Here is a 25,345-nt window from a genome sequence, read left to right on the forward strand (position 1 = left end):
GGCATAAAATCAGACACATTGATCAATGTAAGAAGATAGAGAGCCCACAAATAAAGTCACAGACTTAAAGTTAACAGACTTTTTACAAAGGTGACAAGAAGAACACACAATGGAAGAAATGGAGAAAAGGAAGTCTTTTTAATAAATGGTGCTGGCAAAGCTGGGTATCCACATTCAGAGAATAAAATTAGATCCTTATTTCACACCGCATAAAACAATAAACTCGGCCAGATGCAGGCTTATGCCTGTAATCCCAGCACTTTGGGAGGCCGAGGTGGGCAGATCACCTGAGATTGGGAGTTCAAGACCAGCCTGACCAACATGGAGAAACCCCGTCTCTACTAAAAATACAAAACTTAGCTGGGCATGGTGGTACATGCCTGTAATCTCAGCTACTCAGGAGGTTGTGGCAGGATAATCATTTGAGCCCGGGAGTCAGAGGTTGCAGTGAGCTGAGATCACGCCATTGCACTCCAGGCTGGCCAACAAGAGTGAAACTCTGTCTCAAAAAAAAAAAAAAAAAAAAAAAAACCTACTCAAAATGGATTAAAGACTTAAACATAAAACTTGAAACTGCAAAATCATTGGAACAAAACATATAATAAAGCTTCATAACATTAATCTGGACAATACTTTTTTTGAATATGCATTCTAAAGCAAAAAGCCAAAAGCAAAAATAGACAAATGAGATGACATCAAACTAAAAAGCTTCTGCAAAGCCAAGGAAACCATCAATAGAGTAAAGAACCAATCTACAGAATGAGATAACACACTTGCAAGCCATGACTTTCACAAGAGATTATTATTTTAAAATATATAAGAAACTCAAATAACACAATAACAAGTAAACAAATAATCTTATTAAAAATTGGGCAAAAGATCTGAATAGACATTTCTCAATAGAAGATGTACAAGTAGCCAAAAGGTATATAAAAATGATCAATATTACTAATTATCAGGAAAATGCAAATTGAAAGCACAGTAAGATATCACCTCACACCTGCTAGAATGGCTGTTATCAAAAAGACAAAAGATAACAAGTGTTGGCAAAGATTTGGAGAAAAGGGAACTGTTTTATACTGCTGTTGGGAATGTAAGTTCACACAGCCATTATGAAAGAAAATGTATGTAAGTTCCTCAGAAAATTAAAAGTAAGACTACCATATTATCCAGCAAATTGACTACTGAATTTATATTCAAAGGAAATGAAATTGATATGTCAAAGAGATATCTATCCTCTCATTTGTATTGCAGTAGTATTGGTCCATTTTCATGCTGCTGATAAAGCCATATCTGAGACTTGGAAGAAAAAGAGGCTTAGTGGACTTACAGTTCCACATGGCTGGGGAGGCATTACAATCATGGTGGAAGGCAAGGAAAAGCAAGTCACATCTTACATGGATGTCAGCAGGCAAAAAAAAAAAAAAAAGAGAGAGAGAGAGAGAGCTTGTGCAGGGAAACTCCTGTTTTTTAAAACCATCAGAACTCGTGAGACTTATTCACTACCATGAGAAGAGTCCAGGGGAAACTGCCCCCATGATTCAATATCTCCCACCAGGCCTTTCTTACAACATGGAGCATTTATGAGAGAACAAGTCAAGATGAGATGTGGGTGGGGACATAGAGCCAAACCATATCAACTGACAATAGTCAAGATATGGAATCAACCTAAGTGTCCATTAATGAATGAATGAGTAAAGAAAATTGGGTGAATATACACAATGGAATATCACTCAGCCTTAAAAAGAAGAAAATTCTTTCATTTGGGACAAAATCAATGAACCTAGAGGACATTATATTAAATGAAATAAGCCAGGCACAGGAAGATAAATGCCACATGATCTCACCTATATGTAGAATGTAAAAAAAAATAAAATGAATTTTGGAAGTGGAAAGCAGAATAGTGGCTACCCGCAGATTAGGGTTAGAAGTGACTATTAGGTGTTCATCAAAGGATATAAAATTTCAGTTAGATGAAAGAAATATGTTAAAGACATCCATTGTACAACATGGTAAATATAATTAATAAGAATGTATTATATTTTTAAAAATTGCTACAGTATAGATTTTAATTGTTCTCACCACAAAGTAAGTTTGTCTGGTAATACATATGTTAATTACTTCAACTTAGTCACTTCACAATATATACCTGTTTTAAACAACATGTTTTATATAGTAAGTATATACCATTTTTTGTCCATTAAAAATAAATGTTTATTGGCTACTTGTATTTCTTCTTTTGAGAATTTGTCATCAGTTACCCACTTTTTAATGGAGTTATTTGGTTTTTTTCTCACTGAGTTGTTTGAGTTCCTTTTAGATTCTGGATATTAGGAATTTGTCAAATGCATAGCTTGCAAATATTTTCTCCCATTCTGTAAGCTTTCTGTTTACTCTGTTGTTTCTTTTACTATACAGAAGTTTTTAGTTAATGAAATCCCATTTGTCTATTTTTGTTTTGTTGCATTTGCTTTTGAGGTCTTAGTCATAAATTCTTTGCCTAGGCTGATGTCTGGAAGACCTTTTCTTAGGTTTTCTGTAGACTTTTATAGTATCAGGTCTTCCATTTAATTATTTAATCTATCTTGAGTTAATTTTTATATGTTGTAAGAGGGGTCCAGTTTTATTCTTCTGTGTATGAAAATTTGATTTTTCCTTGTATCAGTTATTAAATAGAATTCCCTGTTTCCATTGTATATTTTTTGTTGATTTCTTTCAAATATCAGTTGGTTGTATGGATGTGGCTTTATTTCTGGGCTCTCTATTCATTTCCATTGATTTATGTGTCTATCTTATACCAGTACCATGCTATTTTGGTAACTATAGCCTTATAGTATAATTTGAAGTCAGGCTCAAAGAACTGAAAATTGAACTACCATTAAACTCAGCAATCCCAATAACTAGCTATCTATTCAAAGGAAAACGAAGTGTTCTGTCAAAAAATACCTACACTCATGTTTATCACAGAATGATTCATAAAATCAAAATCATGGAATCAACCTAAGTGTTCAGTGCAGATGACTGGATGAGGAAAATGTGGGATATATACACCATGGAATACTATGCAGCCATACAAATAATGAAATCATGCTTTCTACAGCAATAGACATGGAGCTGGAGGCCATTATCCTAAGTGAAACAATTCAGAAACAGAAAACAAATACAACCTGTTCTTACTTATAAGTAGAAGCTAAACAATGGGTGCACATGGACATAACATGGAAATAATAGTCCTGGGGATTCAAAAAGGGGAGAGGGTTGGAAGCAGGTGAATGTTGAAAAATTACCTATTGGGAAAAATGTTCACTAATTAGGTGATGGAGCCCAAACCCACCATTATGCAATATATTCATGTAACAAACCTGTACACATACCTGCTGAATCTATAAAAGTTTTTAAAAATAAAATAAAATTAAAATCAATAAATCAATACAAGCTATTTTGATAGCTACTTTATCAAATGACTTTCCAGATTAATTTTCTACCTTTATATGAGATGTCAAAAATAATTTTCTTTTTTTTTATATCTGCATGTTCTATAGTGTTACTTCTGGCTCCTTACAATCTATTACAATCTTAGTTCTATCACCATTCATTTCAATTAGAAGTCTGTGTGCCTTTTCTTGGCAAATTAAAAAGAAAAAATTCCATTTGTGTAGATTACAAAGTTTTCTGAATGTAAACTAGAAAGATGTTTGAATATTACCTCCAATATCTATTATTGAACATCTGAAATTATCTAGGTGGTAACATGTGTGCATACATAAGATATGTGTCTTGAAATATAGTTTATGGTATTTTTAGCCTGTCACCATAAAAGCATATTTAGAACCAAAACCAAAATACATTACAAGTGAAAACAAGACTGAAAACACCTGATTTCTCAAGTGTTTTTGAATGTTTGTGTAGCCCACAAAAATAACTATGAAGAAGTAAAATGGCTTGCTTATATTCACATGGGACTTACACTACATCTTATAGTGATTGTGAAAGAAATATTTAATAATATATTCACTTTCAAGGAAAATAGGTAATAACTGCTCTATTTACCAGGGTTTATTTATTTTTAAATAGATTTATGTATTTATTCGTTTATTTTATTTGAGACAAGGTCTCATTCTTTTGCCCAGGTTGTAGTGCAGTGGCACTATCTCTTCTCACTGCAACCTCCACTTCCTGAGCTTGAGTGATCCTCCCACCTCAGCCTTCTGAGTAGTTAAGACTACAGGTGTGGACCGCCACGCCTGGCTAATTTTTGTACTTTTGTTAAGATAAAGTCTCCCTATGTTGCCCAGGTAATCTGAACTCCTGGGCTAAAGTGATCTGCTTGCCTCAGCTTCCCAAAGTGTAGGATTTACAGATACTAGCCACTGTGCCATGTTTATTCACAAAGAAAAATATTGAATAAGAAAATCCATGGAATACCCAGTTTCAAGATTCTCATGCAAATTTAACCAGTAAGCAAGCTAGAAAACACTAAACAACATCAATTTCTCCTTGTGATAGGGACAGGGGGAAGAAAATTTTTTTTCTAGGCAAAAAAGAGTGGGTCTCCAATGAAACTCCACCCTCAAGCTGAAGAGCCTAAAACCACTGCCCAAATTGAGAACTTATATTCCTGTCTTCTCACTCAAATGTTGCCTTTTTCTAAACCACCCATGACCATACCCCACCACATCCTGTGCCTATAAAAACCCCAGATTCAGCCAGTAGATGGGACTACAGCTGGATGCCAGAGATAAACAGCTTGATTTCAGAGGGACAGCTTAATGGCATAACTTCTGAGAAGAATCCAGCTGGAGATGACCAGACATCAGGGGAAGAATACCTTCCCACCTCATCCCCTTTTCAGCTTCCCTTCCCACTGAGAACCACTTTCAGCAGCAATAAAATCCCCCACATTTACCATCCTTCAACTTATTAATATGACTTCATTTTTCCTGGATGCCAGACAAGAGCTCAGGAGTCACAAATGCAGATACAAAAGGCTGTCACTCTGGTCCTTTGCCCTCATTGGCAGAGGGCAGCTGCATCACACAAAAAGGCAAAGGGCACACTGAGCTGTTAACACTTAAGCCATCAGTGGATGGCAGAGCTAAAAGAGCACTGTAACGCACCCTTTGGGGCATTGGGCATCACAGGCACCCTGACCTGGATGCTACCATAGGGCCTACATGGAGTTTGCTCCTGCCAGCACCCAAAACAGGCCAGTGGGATCCCCTACTTGTGCTCCCTCCCACAAGGGATTTGAGCATGGCAAGCTGAGTAAACTGAGTTTGTTCCTGCCAGCACCGAAAAGCACTCGCTCTGGTTCCTACACCTACTCACCTGCGTGGTCCCTCCTGGAAGGGGTGGAAGGCATCAGGTAAGAGTGAGTGGGGTTTGATCCCCCTGGCACCGAAGCAGCTGGCAGGTTCCAGTGGTCATTCACTCCAGTTCCTGCACTTGTTTGCTTACATGCTCCCTCCCACAAGGAGTTTACACTGTCACGCTGAGTAAATGAGGCAACCCTGTAGTGAGTCCCAAGAAGGGGTCAGGGAAATATCCTACTTCACAAGCATGGTAAACATATAATTTTAGATAACTAAAAACAAAGGTAGAACTTATTAATTATTTGAAATATTGCTCATATATTATTGTGCTAATTACATTTAGCAAACTTAGAGGTGTCTATAATACTTATAAATTATATATAATATACCCACCTTTAATTAGTATTGGTAAAATATTAAGAAAATATTTACTTGAAAAAGGTATAGTATATGAGTATACTTATAATTTTTATGTTCACATATTTTTGTAGTGAAAATAGAATTATTTTTAATATAGACTTTTTTTCTCATTAACATATCCATCTAATTTGGAGATATTTAAAATACAGAAAAATGCAAAGATAAGATGAGAGACACCCACAAACTATACTATATTTACCTTTAAAATTGTTATTTATTTTATGGAAAACAATGAGAAGCATATTTGAGCATTTCCAAATATCTGCAACCAAATATCTTTCTCTTCTGGAGAAAACATTATTGAGAAATTTTGGAGTAGTTTCTCTAAGTCTGTTTTTCTTTTGCTGTTGTTTGATAATACACCTATATTTAATCATAAATAATTTCAAGTGCTATAATATTTGTTTTAAAAGTATGTTTGTTTTAAAATTTGAAATGTTTATACATTTTAAAATAAACATCATAGCACTTGAAACTTATTTGTGACTAGACATAGGTGTACTTTTCACTGTTTCTCAACAACATACATTCTTAATCAACCTGCTATCAGCAATCAACATTATGTTTTCAAAATCATTAATGCCACTCGCTTGATATTTTTCTTTGATGCATGAAAGTTAATTTTGATAAAGTCCAATTTATTATTTCTTTAGTTACTTTTACTTGTGGCATTATACTCAAAGAAACATCGCCAATTCTAAGGTCATGAAATGGATCCCTGTGTTTTATTTTAATAGTTCTCTAGTTTTAACTCACATTTAGGTCTTTATCTACTTTGAGTTTATTTTTGTACTTGGTTTAATGTATGGATCCAATTTCATTCTTTTGCATATCCAGTTGTTTCAACTGGATTCATAAACTTCAGTCTGTCAACTGACAGATTTATAAACTCATGTATCTTTGATAAATTGACTTTTAATGAGGATGACAAGACCATTCAATAGGAAAAGAACACATGAACGAATGATGCTGATGCAACTGGATAACCAAAAACAAGTAAAAGCTATACAATTAAAAAGGAAATAGCAGAACTATCTCCATTCATAGTTTTCATAATTTTAAAAACACAACATTCCCATGAATACACACAAACACACACACACATACACACAATCTTCGAGTTAACATAGTCAGCACAGGTACAATATACAAGATAAATACACAAAATGTGGATATCCAGTTGTCTCAGCATCATGTGTTAATGTGTTCTTTTCCTAGTGAATGGTCTTGGCACCCTTATTACAAATCAACTGACCACAGATGCATACATTTATTTCTCGACTCGCAATTATATTTCACTGATAAATATGCCTATCCTTGTGCCAGTTCCACTGTTTGAATTACTTGAGATTTGTAGAAGGTTTGGAAATTGAAAAGTGTTCATCCTCCAAATGTGTTCTTTTTCAAAATCATTTTGGCTACTCAGGGTACCTTGCAATCTCATATGAATTGTAGAATTGACTTTACCGTTTCTGAAAACAAAAACCATTGGGATTTTGACAGGGTTTGCACTGAATATGTAGATCACTTTGGGGAGTATTTTCATCTTAATATTAATTATTTATATTAATAAATGCAAGATATTTTTCATTATGTAGGTTCTTAATTTATTTCAACAGTGGTTTTTAGTTGTCAGCATACACATCTTTCTCCTTCATTTTATATATATATATATACACACACATATATGTAAAAGCTTAATAATATATATAATGAAGAAGGTGAAAGACGTGTATAATAACATTAAATTATATATACGCATTCTGATGTTATTGTAAATGAAAATTTTTTGTTTCTTTTTTAGGTTATTTGTTGCTAGTCTATAGCAATACTGTTGATTTTGTGTATTTACATTGTACACTGTAAATGTGCTGAATGTATTAACTCTAAGGTTTTTGTGTGTATGTATGTTTGTGCATTCTTTGGAATATTATATAATTATACAACAGTGAATAGAGTTAATTATACTACTTTCTTTTAATTGTATATCTTTTATTTGTATTTTTCTTTAATTGTTCTGGCTTGAATATCAAGTAAATGTTGAATAGAAGTGGTTAAAGTGGATATCCTCATCTTGTTCCTGCTCTGAGGATGAAAGCTTTCATCATTGAGTAGACTAGAGTGTTTATTTTTTTAATAAGTGCCCTGTATTATGTTGAGGAAATTTCCTCTATTTCTAGTTTTTGAGTCTTTCGATTACAAAAGAGGTTTAATTTTCTTCTAATAATCTTACTCCATAAATTGAGATGTACATATTTTTGTTGTTGTTTTTATTATTTTATTTTGGTGTCTTGCCCTTAGTGTTTTTGTATTTTTTAAATGTTAAACAACTCTTGCATTCCTAGAATAAATCCCACTTGGTCATAGTGAATTGCCCTTTTAATATGCTGCTAAATTCTGTTTGCTGCTATTTGCCAATAATTTTCGTGTCAATTGTTATAAAGGATATTGGCCTATAGTATTCATTTGTTATGATGTCAGTCTCTATCTTCGGTACTAGCATAATGCTGATCTCATAGAATGATTTAGAAAGTGTTTCACCTTCTGATTACTAGAAGGGTTTGTAAAAGATTGGCATTAGTTTTCTTTAAATATTTGATAGAATTCACTGTTGAAACCATCTGGTTGTGAGATTTTCTTACTTGAAGTTTTTTTTAAATGACACATTCAATCTCTATTTGTTAAATGTCTATTCAGATTTTGTATTTCTTCTTGAGTCAGTTTTGTAATCTGTGTTTCTAGGAATTTGTCAATTTCTTCATGGATATCTAATTTGTAGTGTATAATTTTCATAGTTTTTTCTTATAATTTTTTTTTAAGGTTTGACATAATATTGTTACTTTCATGTCTGAGTTTAGTGATTAAGTCTTGTTCCACTTTCTTGATCAGTATAGCTAAATTTTTGCAATTTTATTGACTTTTTTCAAAGAACCAACTTTTGGTTTTATTATTCTACTTTTTGATTGTACTTTTGAAATTTGTATTATAATCTCTATATTCCTTTTTTCTTATTAAATATATAACTAAATTAGGAAGAAGAGACAAATATCCCATGCATAAGAATTCCAAACAGCTTATGTAGATATCCTTATCTGAATAAGGAGGAAGAAAATATTCCACTCTTTAAGCATGGGCTTTGACAGTAGCTCTCTTCCAAAGAGTACAGTATGAAAAGGTAGAGGAGAGAGTAACTTTATGTTGGAGAAACTTGGTAAATTCAACTTCAAATCAAGGTCAACATCAATAGTCTGTACCCTTGATATGTTTCAATAAAAATGACATGAACTATAGAGTTTAGTTAATGCTAATGCACCAATATTGGTTCATTCATCATAACAAATGCACCATAGTCATATAAGATAGTAATAATAGGGGGAACTGAGTGAGAGAGTATATAGGACATTTTTATACTACCATTTCAACTTTTCCCTAACTGTAAAAGTGTTTTAAAAATAAAATCTATTTTTATTTATTTTTTATTGTTGTATATATTCATTTTATTTTATTTTATTTTTAACTTTTAAGTTCAGGGGTACAAGTACAGGTTTGTTGCAAAGATAAACTTTTGTTATAGGGGTTTGCTGTATAGATTACTTCATCACCCAGATCTTAAGCCTAGTACCCATTAGTTATTCTTCCTGATCCTCTCCCTCCTCCCACCCTCCACCCTCCAAAAGGCCACAGCGTGTATTTTTAACGTCTATGTGTTTATGTGTTCTCTTCATTTAGCTAGCACTTAGAACTGAGAACATGCGGTATTTGGATTTTTGTTCCTGCATTGGTTTGCTAAGGATAATTTCCTCCAGCTCCCTCTATGTCCCTGTAAAGGGCATGATCTTGTTCTTTTTTATGACTTCATAGTATCCATGTTGTATAGAACCACACATACCATTTAACCCAACAATCCTATTACTGAGTATATGTCCAAATGAATATCAATCATTCTATTATAAAGACACATGCACACATATGTTCATTGTAGTACTATTCACAATAGCAAAGACACAGAATCAACCTAAAGTCTATTATTTAAAAAGCTGCTTGTTAGATGTGAAGAATACCTTCATAATTTGTGAATACACATTATTATTAACAATATTTTTATGATTATCTCATAGTGCCCATCATAGATAATATCCCATTTAGCCTCAAACATGTCCAAAATATTGAGCAAGCATTGTTGCAAATATTTGCTATAAATATACTTGATGTGAAGAAACAGTCTTTTATTCTACCTGTTTTGCTATATTAATCACATCAATATAAAGTATCTGGAAACCATATCTTATTTTTATCAAAGATGTTTAAGTATAATTTGTGATAAAAGAATAAATAACCTATTAAATCATACATAAAACACATTTTACTTCTTTCTAGCTTGTGACATTTTTGTCACACTTAGTTGATTCAGAGTGGGCATAATTGCTATAAAAATTTGAAACAAGATATCCATTGTCACAATAATGATTGGATGTTATTGCCAAATGCTAAAGACAATAACGCTTAAAAACAATGCTAATCCTATTGTTCTCCACGGGGAGTTCTTAAATATGCACACATAAAGATAAGGTGTTTTAAAACCTCATTCATATTCTCTACAGGAAAACATATAAAACATTTTTAGTAAACAACTAAGACCAGGCAGTTTTGTATACTGTTTTCTGTTATATTTACTTATGTGTCTATTTTACATGATGCAGTTTTTTGATCCCATGGTGAACATAAAATACACAAATATCTCCTCTTGTATTCCCACACCCCATACTCCACACCTCCACTGCGTTCTTTTTACTTCATTAACAATTCTGGAACTATTACACACACCCCACTCTCATCATCCATGTGGCTTTTTATGATTTTTGCCTCTCTCCTTCATCAGCCTAGTTCCTATAACCACTTTTTGCTTCCTATGTTTAGTAGTAATTTTAAGCCCAAATCAACATAAGCATAGTTTGATGAAAAAAATATACACTTTGAAGTTAAATAGCTATGAGGTCAATTCATGACTTTACTACTTAATAGATTTTGAGAAAAGATATTTAACTTTTCTAAACAGCAGCTTTTTTTTTTTAAGTGAGAGCAAAGCGTTGGTTTTTAACACTCAATCTAAAATGCTTTCCATGTGGCCTTTAACAAATGTTAGTTTCTTTTCACTTTTCCAATCTGTATGTTCAATTCCAAATCCTAGGCTGATCACACATTCACCTGCCGTTGTTTTCATTGCTGTTGTCATTATTGCTCACAATCTGTTAGCTATTGCCCAAGAAAAGCATCATGGGAAGCATGATTGTCAAGCCACAAGTCTTCTCTCTGACCTTCAGTAGTGCTTTTATTGATTTCTACTTGTCAACTACCACATTCCAGTAATTTCCTAGTATCTACAAGTTCCAAATGCTATCTTTACTTTTACTCCTTGGAGATTACTCTGTGTTGTACTTTACTGGGAATTTAGAGGCCACCTAATATAAACTCTTATTATCTCTATACTTAAAAATCCATGTTCATCCATATTAGTCTACACAAAAATGATATTTTTTCTGCCATGTGCATACCTGTGTAGATGTGTGGGGGAGGTGTGTGTGTGTGTGTGTGTGTGTGTGTGTGTGGCTTTGTGCTGTTCCACTTCTGAACAATATGCTATATTATGTCTTGGCAAGCATGTATCCTGACATTTAAAAAGTAGATGAAGAAAATATAATTATGCTCTATAGAACAGGGCTCCCCAAACCCCAGGTCTAGGGACCAGTACTGTTTAGTGCTGCACAGCAGGAGGTGAGCGGCTGGCAAGCAGTACTGCCTGAGTTCCGCCTCCCGTGAGATCAGCAGTGGCATTAGATTCTCATAGGAGTGCGAACTTCCTTGCAAACTGCTCATGTGCATGTGAAGGGTCTAAGTTGTGCGCTCCTCATGAGAATCTAAGGCCTGATGATCTAAGGTGGAGTAGTTTCATCCTGAAATGGTACCCTCCTCCTCTTCTGTGGAAAAATTGCCTGCATTAAACGGCTCCCTGGTGCCAAAAAGTCTGGGAACTGCTGCTCTAGAATACTCTGTTTTTCTTTCTTTCTCTTTTTCTCTCTCTCCCTGTCCCTCTGTCTCTGTTTCTCTCTTTCTCTCTCACTTGTTTACAGAATAATTAATGCTTAGGTTTATTGTTGCTTCAATAATTCAGCTGCCTACTCAGCTTCCTATTTGCCATTTATTTCTGGTTCTTACTGGTTACAATGTAAACTAAGGATTATTGAAATAATACTAAATTCACTCAAATTATGAGCAGGTCATTGGGTGAAAATTTTAGATTGAAGATAGAAATGTACTTGAAACAAGTTAGCATAATGGATGTTTTGAGCTTTTGCAACATTTGGATTTAGGCCATTTGTAAATTTATAGAGTGAATCAGCTATTTAGTATTAATATTAATACACAAGTTTACAATACCAATGAATCCCTTGGACATATTTTGAAAGGTGTTTATCTTTTTCATTTACATTATATGGTATTTAATTATTTTTGAAGGCAAATCTCAATATTGAAAGCCCTTTGCAGCATCATCGTAGCAAGGAGCGTATCGTCATCTCTCAGGTTTCTCATATCATGATTTGAAGAAAGAACGAGATATTCTCAGTGGGCCAAGAAATGGGCACACTCACAATAATTCACTTCACTGCAAGTTATAATATAAAATTATCATACTTATTTGTCATTATTTGAATAGTAAGCAAAAAGGGTATGAGGATTTGAAGAGAAACCAAAAAAAAAAAAAAATAGCAGTTGTTTCCTGGGGAGTAATCAACAATAAAGTCAGTTCAGCCAAGTGGAACACAGAGAAAAATTGGTCAAGGGCAACTAGAGCAGGAGCCAAAATGAAGTTAAGTTCATAAGGCAGGAGCTGAATGTTTGCAGTGATAACAAATCAATACTGCCTGTAGGTCGTATTGGTAAAAAATAAAATATCTATCTGAGGTTTTATATAATGGTGATGGACAGTTAATAAAGCAATGAGGTTATTAGGAGATCAGGTAAAATGAGTTCCATTGGAATATAACCCTTTATAACAATTTAAAGAATCACTGTCTCTACTTCAGCGCCCTCAAGCTACTAAATTCCATGATTATATTTTAGTAACTATTAGACAAGAGTCTAGGTAAAATCAATAGATTAGGGAATTGTAGAGTCAAATACTCAGCCCAGCTTCGTCTGCATTGTGGAGAGACTAACTGGATACTTTATGCCAATATCTTCCCTTGACAAGGAATTATACCTGCTTTAAATTATTGTGTAATATTTTAATATGATTTTGTGAGTTAACACATGGTAATTCCATTTCTTCCTATTTCTTGCATTGCTGTTTTAATTTAAGCAATGTCTTCGCTGTCATTGTGAAACTTATGTGAGTCACTAGACTGCTCCCTGATGCAGTATGTTTAAGGCTAACTCTCATTAACCATCTTCTGCTGACATGTTAACAAAAGCTGTCATCTGGATACACAGACAAGCATATGGCCACTAAGGAGTTTAACATTGTCTATTAGCTCTCTGCACGTATTTCTCTTTTCCTAATTCCCTGGTACTTATTTATTTCCCCAAATAAACTGCAGGTGGATTTTTATTTTAGTGTACTAGACAATGTTATGGATTGATGAATTGAGTGATCCAAATAATGATCATCATTTATAAACATGCTCATAACAAGACACACTAATTTCATCCAACTTTAACACAACTAATATTACAACGGTCTCCTCAGAGCAAAATATCATCATGCCCTTGGAATGTACTGATGAAAAGAAAGCACTGCCACTCAATCGATTGAAAGAGACAGGAGATTTCAAAATTAAGATATGATCCTATAAAAGAGATATACAAAGTTATTTACACCCAATCACTTCTTTACTGTAAGAAATCATTTGCAGATTCCTTTCAATCTCTTATGGGAACTAGAGAAATTACATGTCCCCAATTATTTTTAGACAAAGTAAGATCTGTACTCTAACCAGCTATTTCAGGACTTATCCTTAGTCTCCTATAAAAACACCTTCCCAAAAATAATTACTATGCCATTTTCCTGTATATACCTTTCTCATTTACATTGAAATGGGTAGACCACTGTTCTCTATATCTTTTCAATGGAAAACTCATTCATTTTGTTAACATGTTTTTAAATGAAGTTTAATCCATTGGGCCCACCTCAAATGGCAACTTTTCTTGGCATCTTTTTATAATACCACCAATTACTGCCAAATTCTTCTTCTATTCAAGTTAGCTATGCTTTTCTCTTGTAATTCTTGTTTAATTATGTTATTTGCCTATAATCAAACTGTGTAATATGGCATAAATTAGTTAAATATAACAATAATAGCATCTATCTTGAAACAGTAACAGCTAATCTTTATTGAACACATGTGTGTGAAAGTAATGCTCAAGGAATGTCTAGAAGCTATTTATATTAAAGTTCTTATGTTAGTATTTATTTAATCAACCCAACGACTTCTCCCAATCAGCAAATGAGGAAAACAGTGCATGGAGAGATTAAATCGCTTACAGAAGTGACAGATTTCTGGTCACTTTTGCCATGTTCTAATAGTTAGAAACAAGTAACAGGCTCTGCTTCTGTTCAAAGGATTATTACACAGGAACGTGACTACCAAATTGAGTCACGAATTGAGTTCCCAATTTGAGTGACTACCAAATTGGGAACAAATTGAGCTGTGTTGTAGTCTCTCCATCACAGCCCATCTGTTGACCCCAGTGATCTGTGTCCTTCTTATAGAAAAAAAATACATTCATCTCCTCCCAGTGTCCCTGAGTCCCATCCCATTAAACTGTCTGCTCTATGTCCAATTATTTATCATCAAAATTAGATCCAGGTAAGGAAGAAACTTCCTTAGTATAATTTCCTTTACCCTGTCAATCTATAAAGCTAAAGAGACAAGTTATCTGTCCCCCACACACCCAACACACATGGTATAACAGTCAGAGGACAGCAGGAATAGACATTTCTGTCCAAAAAGGATGACAAATGATTTACTGGTCCATATTGATTTTAAAATTGATCCAGGGAAAAGTGTTGGCTAATCCTTGACTAAATTTCAAAGCCTCAGAATAATTCTCCTTGGTGCCCCCTTTATTTCTCTGTTCTTCATTCCAGCCTCTCAGTCAGCCTTCCTTTTTTTTTCATGGAAGTAGAATGTTCCATGCCTAAGTAGATTTAGTGGTTTGGTTGCTGCCTGTAGAATTTCAGAAGTCTGAACGACTCTTTTCATTTTTCACTCTCCATTATCCCTTTAGTCCAAGTTGGCAGTGTTTTTGCTAAAACAATTTTCTCAAAAACTGAGTAGGTGTTTTCTGTCTTTCCCAGGGTTTCTTTCTATTAGATAAAAGCCATACCCTCAAATCCCTTCTATATAATCCCTCTTCTACCTGGGACTCCCATAGAAAGAAGTGAGTGACAAGAGATTAAGCTTCCTAGAGGTCCTATTATTAGACTGAGAGGATCTGTGAGACAAAACTTTGATAGCTTTAAAAGGCCATTTTTATGACCAAATACTCTAATCATTTGATCTTTTGAAGTTTTAGCAAAGATTGTGTAATTACACCATTTTCTCTATGCCAAGCTTTATCTAAAGACCATGTTTTCCTGACAGTTCATAGAAACAATTTCCTAATTTTAACATCTTTTGTCATTTGGAAAAGCTAGAATTTTCTAAATTATCAAGTCCTTTTGATTTAACAGTTCCTTCCTCAAATTATCTTCCTATATTCTGACACATTGCTACAGAAATCAAGAAAAAAGCAGCTGGCATATCCAACACTTTTCTTGAAGGTTTCCTTTATTAAATAACCAAGTTCATCACTTATATTTTCTGTTGTCTACATAACTACAAGAGACAACTTCACTAAGCTCCCTGCTGGTACATGTCTCCCTTCCTCCAGTTTCTAGTAACATATTCCTTACTTCCTTTTGAGCCATCACTGGCGGTGTCCTCAAAATTCTTATTCATAATAGTCTGATTGAGAAAACTTAGTCTTTACCATGCTTTTCAAAAATTGTTTATCTTCTGTTCACTGTCTCATTATAAAGCCACTCCCACATTTGTAGTGTTTTCAGAGCAGCCCCTCATTTTCAGATACTTGAATCTGCATGTCATCTACAGCTGCATAACAAATTACCACAACTTAAAGGCATAAAACAACATGCATTTATTATCTCAGAATTTTTGAGAGTCAGAAACCCAGGCATGGATTAGCTGAATTCTCTGCTTCAGGGTCTCTCATAAGTTTACAGTCAGAATGTTGGCCAGACTTGAGGTGTTATCTGAGGCTCCACTGGGGAATGGATCTTCCATCAAACTCCTGTTATTGTTGACTGGATTCAGTGTCTCCTTTGCCATCAGACAGAAAGCTGTAGCTTTTTCCTAGCATTTGGATGGTGGCTGCCTTTAGTTTCTTGCCAAATGGGTCTCCACAGCATGGTATCCTGCCTCATCAAACTGTGCAAACAGAAAAGTCAATAGAGATGCTGCTAACAAAGCAAAAGTTAGAGTTTCATGTAGTGTAATCAGTCAAGAGGCATTCTTTTATCTTTTCTGTATTCTGTTGGTTAGAAGCAAGTATAGCTCCTGCCCATAGTCAAGAGGAAGACCTTACACAGGGCATGCATGTCAGGAGACAGAGATAATTTGGTCAGTTTTAAAGTTTGACCATATCAGGAAGTAGAACCATTATACCTGAGAACTTTTTATATTCCTAGAAGGTATGAAAATTATAAGAAACAGCGAGATAGCAAAGGGTCATTGTGCCCAAGTTTCAATATTGTATTCCACAATCCTGATTGAAGGGACTAACGATATTTTTACTAGACTCCAAAATGCATTCAGGAGATAATATGAATGTGACACATTGTTATTTTGTAATAATCATCACAGTTCCAGTTAAACACAATCTTCATATATGGTTATCATGTAATAATAACGGCTAGCATTTCAGCATGCATTGTATCCTAAACATATGTTATCCTAAAATCAGTATCATTGGCATTAGCTACAGATCTTGGTTCAATCCTCAGTTTTGATAGTGATTATATAAGTGTTTCTGTGTGTATATTATATACTACACATGTATGTGCACTCAGAAAAAGCTATGTAGTCTATCTTTCTGAATTTTAGTGTCTTTATCTATAATATGGGTGCAGCAATGGCATTTAATTGAAGCAAGTGTGTTAAAATGATATGAGTAAATGAAAATCTTGTATCGTGTTCAACAAAAAGAAATCCTCCAATATATTAATTGCTCAAGACAAACATACATTGTGATTAAGTAGAAGGGCCATGAACCAAAAAGACATTGTTGCACAGACAGCTAAATACACAAGCAGAAGTTCAACCACTGAAGAGAACAAGAAAAAAGAATCATCCAAGTGAGAGAATAACATTCACTTATTTTAAAATTGATAAACAATTTCTTTTTAAGGTTGCCATAATCCCACTAGAGAATGGATAACTATTTACCATATATATTTATACAAGTACATACTCCACACAATGCTTATCAAAAGTATGGAATCCATTACTGGCTTTTTCACTGGATGTGAGTTAAAGCGCTCCTCAAGGTATGAATGTGTATCTTCATTGGGGTTCAGTGGATTTCTCATAACCATTACAAAGGTATGAGGCCAATAGGGAAATCTGAAGAAGCCAAGCTCATTCTGTAACATTTTAATTTTGCCCTATGTATTACTAAGCATTAAAAAGTTGCCCTAGAATTGTATTCTTCATATCCCATCTTTTCTACCTACTGCTAAAATGTGTGCATTTATTTTGTTGTAGTTTACGTTGATTCATAAGCTTCTTTTCTGTGAGTATCCAGTGAAAACATCTTTTTTTTTTTGGAAAAGTCTGGAAATGTCTCATGGTCGGACGACCCACAGTCCTTGGTGGTATGTAGAATTATCCTTAGGGATGCAATACCAGAGATAAACACTAAATTTCAACTCTCAACTACTTATGCTATAAGAGATTAAAAATTTTTTAAAAACATAATCAAGAAAGAAAATGATCTCTGTTACTTGTTAATTGTCATGGTTTCTAAGAAAATTCTTTAGAAATAAGCTTATTTCAAGAATTGTACTTTATAATATTTGCAGACATAATGATTTGTAAAATATAACAGCTTTTTGGAATTCAGTTTCTTCTGTTAAATAATTGTTTTCATAATTTTAATAAATATTTTGCTTTCATTTCATTTACAATTATAATATAAAGCCATTCATAAAAACAAGTCAAAATTAGACAACTAATTTTATTCAGAATACAATTATATCTCGCTATGCTATTATACATCAAAATAAATATAAATGTCTGAACTTTCCCCTTTAGACAAGATTAGATAATCCACTAGTCTTATTCTAGTTCCTTAAAAATGAAGATCAGGTGATGTCCTCCTAGTGATTTACTAATTTTAAACTAAAGAAGAGAGAGTGGTAGGGATAAAGAGAGGCAGACAGAAATATTCAAAACTTGTACTCTGTCATGAGGTTTCCTAGCCTTTTTAGAAACTAGAAGTAAAGATGAGTTGGTTCTTAATGATAAAATAAAATACAATCATTTTACATATTAAACACTCTCAGGTCATCCTAAATTTCAGTGGTTTAAAGAGGCAACCAAAATACATGAATCAGCCATTATCCCCTATATTCCTGAACATTCCCATCCTTCATATACTCACATTTTCTTTCACATTACCTGATTTTTTTTTCCTTTTTATTTCTGGACCAGCTTCACAGCTCATTTGCTTGCAGTATGGCATAATTGCCTTTCCCCTTGACATGTTCTGAATACATGGTTTTATGTTAGAGCTTGAACAATGGAGAACATATCTCTGTCTGCCCAATAAGCTAAGTTATGGCAGAAAATCCTGATATTAAAGCTCTCATAGACAGGGAGAGCAATTTATCTTTTGATTTCATTGAATCTATTTTACATATTGGAGAAATCTGTTGTGGATAAAATAAAACCTCCTTTTCCTGCCCGCCTCCTGGGTGCCTTCCTTCAACAGTCATCTTTCTTTTTTCTTTTTTTTTTTCCCTTCTGAAAGCCTGGGGATTCCCTTTTGAAACTATTTGGTCCCCGTAACCGTATACAAGACTAAAAAAAATGTTTTCTTCGACCATTAGCCCACACTCATTTCAATTTCCTTTCACTGTGAATGCCTGTGTTCAAAGTCGTAGGCAACAAATGTCTCTGCCTCTTTATGCCCATTGGCCTCCACCTCCTGGGCTCAAAAGATCCTCCCACCTCAGCTTCCTGAGTGGCTGGGACTACAGGAACTTGCCACATGCCTAATTCTTTTACTTTCTGTAGAGATAGGATTTTGCCATGTTGCCCAAGCTGGTCTCAAACTCCTGAGCTCCAGCAACCTGCCCGCCTCGGATTCCCAAAGTGCTGGGATTACAGGCATGAACCATCACACCCGGCCTCTAGTAGGTATTTATGAAGTACCCTCTATGAGCAGTCTTTGCCCTAGGTATGGGACATAATGAAGAATAAGATCATGGTAACAATATCATTTAAATTTTCAACTAGCATGCCTATCTGTAATTTAGAATATCTATTTACATATATTTAGTAGACATTTTTCTATTAAAGTAAAAATGACACAATAATATAAATAACAATGTAAAATATACCTCCTCATCACTTTTCATTGTTCTCATCATTGGAGTACATTTTGTTTTCTGTTCTATGTTATATTTTAAACAGCATATTTTGTTTTGACAAAAATATATAACTAGCATAAAATATTTTCTTCAAATCTTTATGCCCCTATATACAGCATATTATTTTAATACAATGACAAACACTAAAATTAGTCAGTGGTCAATTACTATGCATTTTCATTATTATAGGTCAATTTGTGAATTTTTATATTATATAACTTGGTATATATTATATACCAATGTGATATATCCTTATCTCTCTATATATGTATATATACATGCACATAGAACATATCACACATGTACATATTATATTATGCCCAAAATTAAATGTATGTGTACACATGTGAACATACCTGTATGTGTATGTGCTTGTGTGTGTGTGTGTGTGTATGTATGTATGTGAAAAATACATAGATATTACCCAAGGTAGAGTTAGTAGTGTAAAATAGGGCAAAATAAATTATTTAATTTATGATTTCATACTTTTAGTTTCTTTGCAGAGCATATTAATTTACAGTGTCACTAGGAGCATATGAGTAAACAGTTAGCAATATAATTTTTAATTAAAAATTATTATTTTCTCGTCTCATAGTTTTCTTGCTGTTATTTTAGCATGTGTGTCCTTAAACAGCCTAATTTTTCAGTGGTTCTATCACTCACCCTAATTGTCATGAGTATACTTAAACAGTGACTGTTTCATTTTCTGAAAAATCTCTAATATTTTAAATGCCAAAATAATCAAGTTAAAATTCCAAAGGGTGTCTTTTAAAGCTCTTCGTTGTCTTGTTCAAATACGCTTGTTGAAATTCATATCTTGCTGCTTTTCCTTCAAACTTGCAACCTACTGAAGACATGGCTGCGTCTTATTCCTGATACAATAGGCACAGATTAAACCCTCTCTGTGCTTTTTTCAGTTTTCTCTACCTCAATGCCATGCATTTCTCTCAGCAGATTGTAAATGCATTTGCCTTTCCTAATTCATCTTCTCAGAAGAAAACTATAATTTATAAAATGTGTTTCTCCTTTATTAGATTATACTCTCCTTGTTGACAGTGACTAGACTGATCTGTTTTTTAAAGCAACATAATGGATAACACCTGGCCCAAGAAAGATGTTTAACAACTATCTACCTCTGCTGACATTTTAGTCAGTAGATCCTTTTCCCTTAATGAACTTCTTTTGTGTTCTGACTTAGTATAAAGTTAAGGTGACAAACTAAGCTTTAGGAAGGCTTAACAAATGGTCCACTTCTATAAGTAATGAATACCTATTTATTTATTTATCTCTATGCATGCATTATTTTATTTTATTAGTTTGTTTCTTCTACTTTTAAGTTCAGGGTTACATGTGCAGGATGTGCACGTTTGTTATTTAGGTAAACGAGTGTCATGGTGGTTTGGTACACAGATCATCCCATCACCTAGATATTAAGCCCAGCATCCATTAGCTATTCTTTCTGATGTGCTTCCTCCCCACAACCCCACCTCCAAAAGGCCCCAGAGTCTGTCGTTCCCCTTCATATGTCCATATATTCTCATCATTCTTCTCCCACGTGTAAGTGAGAACATGGGGTGTTTGGTTTCTAATTCAGCAATTTGCCACGGTAACATATTTGGTCTCCATTATCTATATAACTAGGGGAACAATTTCTCTTCAGTTATTGATATCAGGAAATAAATCGCAGTTGGACTCTTCCGAGCAGTGTCTTTTCTCAATCTTACCAGTAATTGTGGAAACAGTTTGCTATTTTCTGGAACTTTCCCAGAAAGAAGATATAATTTATTTGGCCTGGGATCTGGGAATTTCTTCCTGAATGTAGAGATAATTATTGATCGTATGGTTTTTTTTTTGGTGTCACAATCTAAATCATTATCCATAGCTAAGCCTCCAAGGATATTATTGTTAATCTTTTATTATGTATTTATACAAGTAGAGTAGACCTGCTCCTGGAAGTCTTGCATGTAAGAAAGAAAATTCAAAAAGATTATTTAACACAACTAAGACTATTCCATGGCTATCATTGTTTTCAAAACTGAAATATAGTTGGATTTCCTTTCTATTGCCATTCCCTTTAATAAGAAGCTCCACACCACAAACAGAAAGAACCAGAATGGAATATTTCAGAGCTAGATAAAAGCAAAGGGCTGGTAGCTTACAAGGATAAGGAAGCGAGGATGGGAATTCAGAAATATAAATGCACTGATATTGCTTATAAATATGCCGAGTCAACTCCAGAACCCAAGGTCTTGAGATTATATGACTCTTGGCTGACAGAGGATTATGTAAGCATTCCTGTCAGGGTCTTGACAGAAAACAAATAGCAATTCACAAAGAGTATAATTGAGGAGAGTAAAATTAAAGCACCTTTAAAAATGTGTGAGAAAGTATAAAAGAAATAAACAAGGAACAATAAAGCAGATACCAGGAAGATAGCCATTGTCCTTGTTCGAGAAGGGAAGGGCGGGGTCAGTTACCAGAACTAGGTAGAGAACTGAAGCAGAGGAGGGACTACCCCATAGGAACTGTTGGCTTCAATACAGGAATAAAGAGACTGCTGACATGTGGTTCTGGAGGGAAGAAATCCAGGGAAATAAATGTCCTCCCTTTCTTTACCTTCTTCCTGAAAATTTCCTGAGAGTATTTTCCATTGGTATATGCTGACTGCAAGTCCTCCAGTATCCTGTTGGTGGATTCTAAATGGATAAAGACATACACACACACACACACACACACACACACACACACACACACACACGTATATGCATTCGTGCATATAGGCACATATATATGCACCAAAATGTGTGCATGCTCAAGATCCATATATGAAATGGTATAGTATTTGCATATAACCTACACACATCCTTCTGTATACTTTAAATAATCCCTAGACTATTTACAATACATAACACTATGTAAACAGTAGTTACACTGATTGTTTTTTCTTTGTATTATGTTTACTGTACTGTTTTTAATTTTATCTAAATATTTTCAATCAGTAGTCAGTTGAATCCTCAGATGCAGGAACTATGAATATGGAGGGCCAACTGTACATATAATTTTAATTATACTAATACATAAATAATCATATGTCTCACTTTTCATGAGGATGTTCTCAGGTTCTTGGCCAATAAAATAGCATTATGGTGTATGATTACATAAAAAATAAGAACAGATCACTGTTTCTACATATACAAAGTCAAAGGATTTGCCAACTGATTAATTCAGGACTATTCTCTAACCCTACATAACTAGAGTTAGAATTGGCTGTCTGCACAAAATCCCCATATTTGAATGCTAAGTATTTGAACATCAAGAACATAGACTCCTTTGACTGACACCAGCTGGTGGAGTCATTCCTATATGGACTTCAGATCATTGATAATTGTTAAGACATGATGCTGCTTTCTGCTCCCTTCTCTTTATAAATAGCTTTTGGAATCCAACTGATTTCATACACATAGCTGATCCAATAAAAGTTGAATTCATAAATGCATGGACCATTAACGAAAGCTATGTGGAAGAAAATGTAAGTTTATGCTGTTTCACTTATGAATGAATATATATCTAAGAGTCTAGAGGAACTTCAGTAGGATAGGGAAGAGATGAAAAATCCACACATGAAATCTCTGTATTTCCCCTGTCATCAATCATAATTGGGTTCAGCACCTAGAACCACGTTCAAAGATTATTAATAGCAACAGATAGACAATGTGCTCATAGATTTGAAAAATGCTACCATGTACATGTTTATATATTTAATTAAATTGTGTAATGGATAAACATATGACTTGTTTTAGGGTATAAATAGTTTGAAATATAGCAAGCATTATTCATTTTAGTAAAAAAGGAAAATAATGCAGGTGAAGGTAGAGGGAGACGAGACAGCAAGAGACTGTCACAATTTATTCATACATTCACGTATACATTCTATCCTGCTATGATGGGAATCTTGTGAATTTTGTGAATACATACATAAATAAAACGGGCTTTGTTGGGCTCCATAAGTGTATTCTCTACAAAGTACTGCAAAGCCATATTCATCATCACATGAGCACAAGTTTCTATAAGCCACTCACAAAGAAAATAAATATGGACAGAGGACCTACAGTTTACCAAAAATATAATGGCTTTCTCAGAGAATTTTTTGAGGGTACCGATTAATTCAAAATTCTACAGAAGTCAGTCTTATTAACTGATGCAAACTGATTGAGGCAGACCAGCTGTTGGGCATTTTCCCAAGCACACTCCCACAGGGCCCATGTCACTCATCCACATCAGAATCCTCCAGAGTCCCCCTTTAATTGGGGAACATGAAAGAGTGACACAGAAGTCCTATGCTTCTTTTTGAGAAGTCCTCAAAAACACATCCCAAATAAAGTTGGAAATATCATCTTAATTTTCATGTTTTATAAACATATGATGTCTGATGTTTATAGTGGGTTGAATAAGGTCCTGCCCCATACCCTCACACCTTGCCTAAATTCATGTTCACTCAGAACCTCAGAATGTGACCTTTTTTTTTTTAAGAGTCTTTCCAGATGTGGTTACTTAAAATGAGCTCATATTGGATTAGAGTGCACCCTAAGTCCAATGACTGGGTTCTTACCAGTAGAGGAGAGGAAAGACAGCCATAAAGACACAGAAGAAAGAAGGCCAGGCAACAATAGAGGCACAGATCAGAGTGAAGCAGCAGCAAGCCAGGGAAGTTCAAGGCTTGCTAGCAATTACCATCTACTAGGACGGGCAAGTACCCTCTACTAGAGGGAGGGAGGGAGGATGGCTGTGCCAACAGCTGAGTTTGAACTCCTAACCTCCGTAACTGTGAGAAAATCAATGTCCTGTTTTAAGCTACCCAGTTATGGCAGCGCTAGGAAATAAATACAATGGAGTTGGTCATTTTGGTTGAGGTGAAGTTAAAAGCTGTGAATATCTTAACTCATTATGTGAAATACAAAATTTTTATCATAAAGAATTAAACTATAAAATGGAACTTAGAAAACAATAGCTTTAATATATTATTGCTCCATACAGAAACTTAAGGGCTAAAAATATGCAATTTAAATATATTTCAGACATTGCAGATGTAATCCTCCACTCTTTTAATCAATTTCCTTGAGGGTTAAAAGGCTTAGTTGCAGTTTGGAATACTTCATAGAGATAAGCTTATGGACTCAGCATTTAATGAGTTTATTTCAGGTAATGATATATAATTAAAAGCATAAATGGAGACTTAAGCTCAGCTAAAAGGATTTCTTTTAAAAATCACAATTAATTTACACAACATTCAATGGCGTTTAACACTTTGAGGTTGAGCAAAAAGAAAACTTACAGAAAGTACTCATGCTCAAATTATAAGCAGAAAAGGAGATTGGTATGTTATCCCAAGAGAAAGAAGTTTTGTTTCTTTTGTTGTCATTTGCTTTAACATATTGATATTGGATATTTCCAACACTCTAAGACAACGAAAGATTTTTTACTACATTTCTAAAATGGAAGGCTCTCTTTTTGACAATACCATCGCCTTCTATGCCAGGGATATAGAGTCAGTTTCATGTCAGATAAATCAGGTGCCATTCTTAAAGGGTAAATGAAAGAGATGTATGCTATTTATCCTCTCTGCCAGGAGGATTTCAGCTGTGTGGTGTAGATCAGCCTAGTTAGAAAAATTGGCTAAGATTCTTACATTGTCTGGCATTCTTACAAGTAGAGGAGAGGAATTTTTCCTTCCTTTCTTTCTTCCTTCCTTCTTCCTTTCCTTCCTTCTTCTTTCCTAAAATATTTTCTTTTTAGAGTACTACTCTTGTTTTCTTTTATAAAAATATATTCTGCTTTAAAATTCAGCATCTTTCTTCATCATATTGCCTTCAATGCTTTCCTTTTATTTTCTTTGCAAGTCCTT

At 34.2% G+C, this 25,345-nt stretch overlaps 1 long non-coding RNA gene across 1 annotated transcript in view; it reads right to left on the reverse strand.

The window, feature by feature from the left end:
- Positions 1 to 5,406: 5,406 nt before the first annotated feature.
- The window catches only part of LINC02220 (long intergenic non-protein coding RNA 2220), a 155,415-nt gene continuing 135,476 nt past the window's right edge, over positions 5,407 to 25,345 (reverse strand). The window contains exon 5 of the long non-coding RNA NR_147005.1: positions 5,407 to 5,510. This is a non-coding gene — a long non-coding RNA (long intergenic non-protein coding RNA 2220). The remainder of the gene's footprint in view (positions 5,511 to 25,345) is intronic.

Source organism: Homo sapiens, chromosome 5, assembly GCF_000001405.40.
Source record: "Homo sapiens chromosome 5, GRCh38.p14 Primary Assembly".
NCBI lineage: Eukaryota > Metazoa > Chordata > Mammalia > Primates > Hominidae > Homo > Homo sapiens.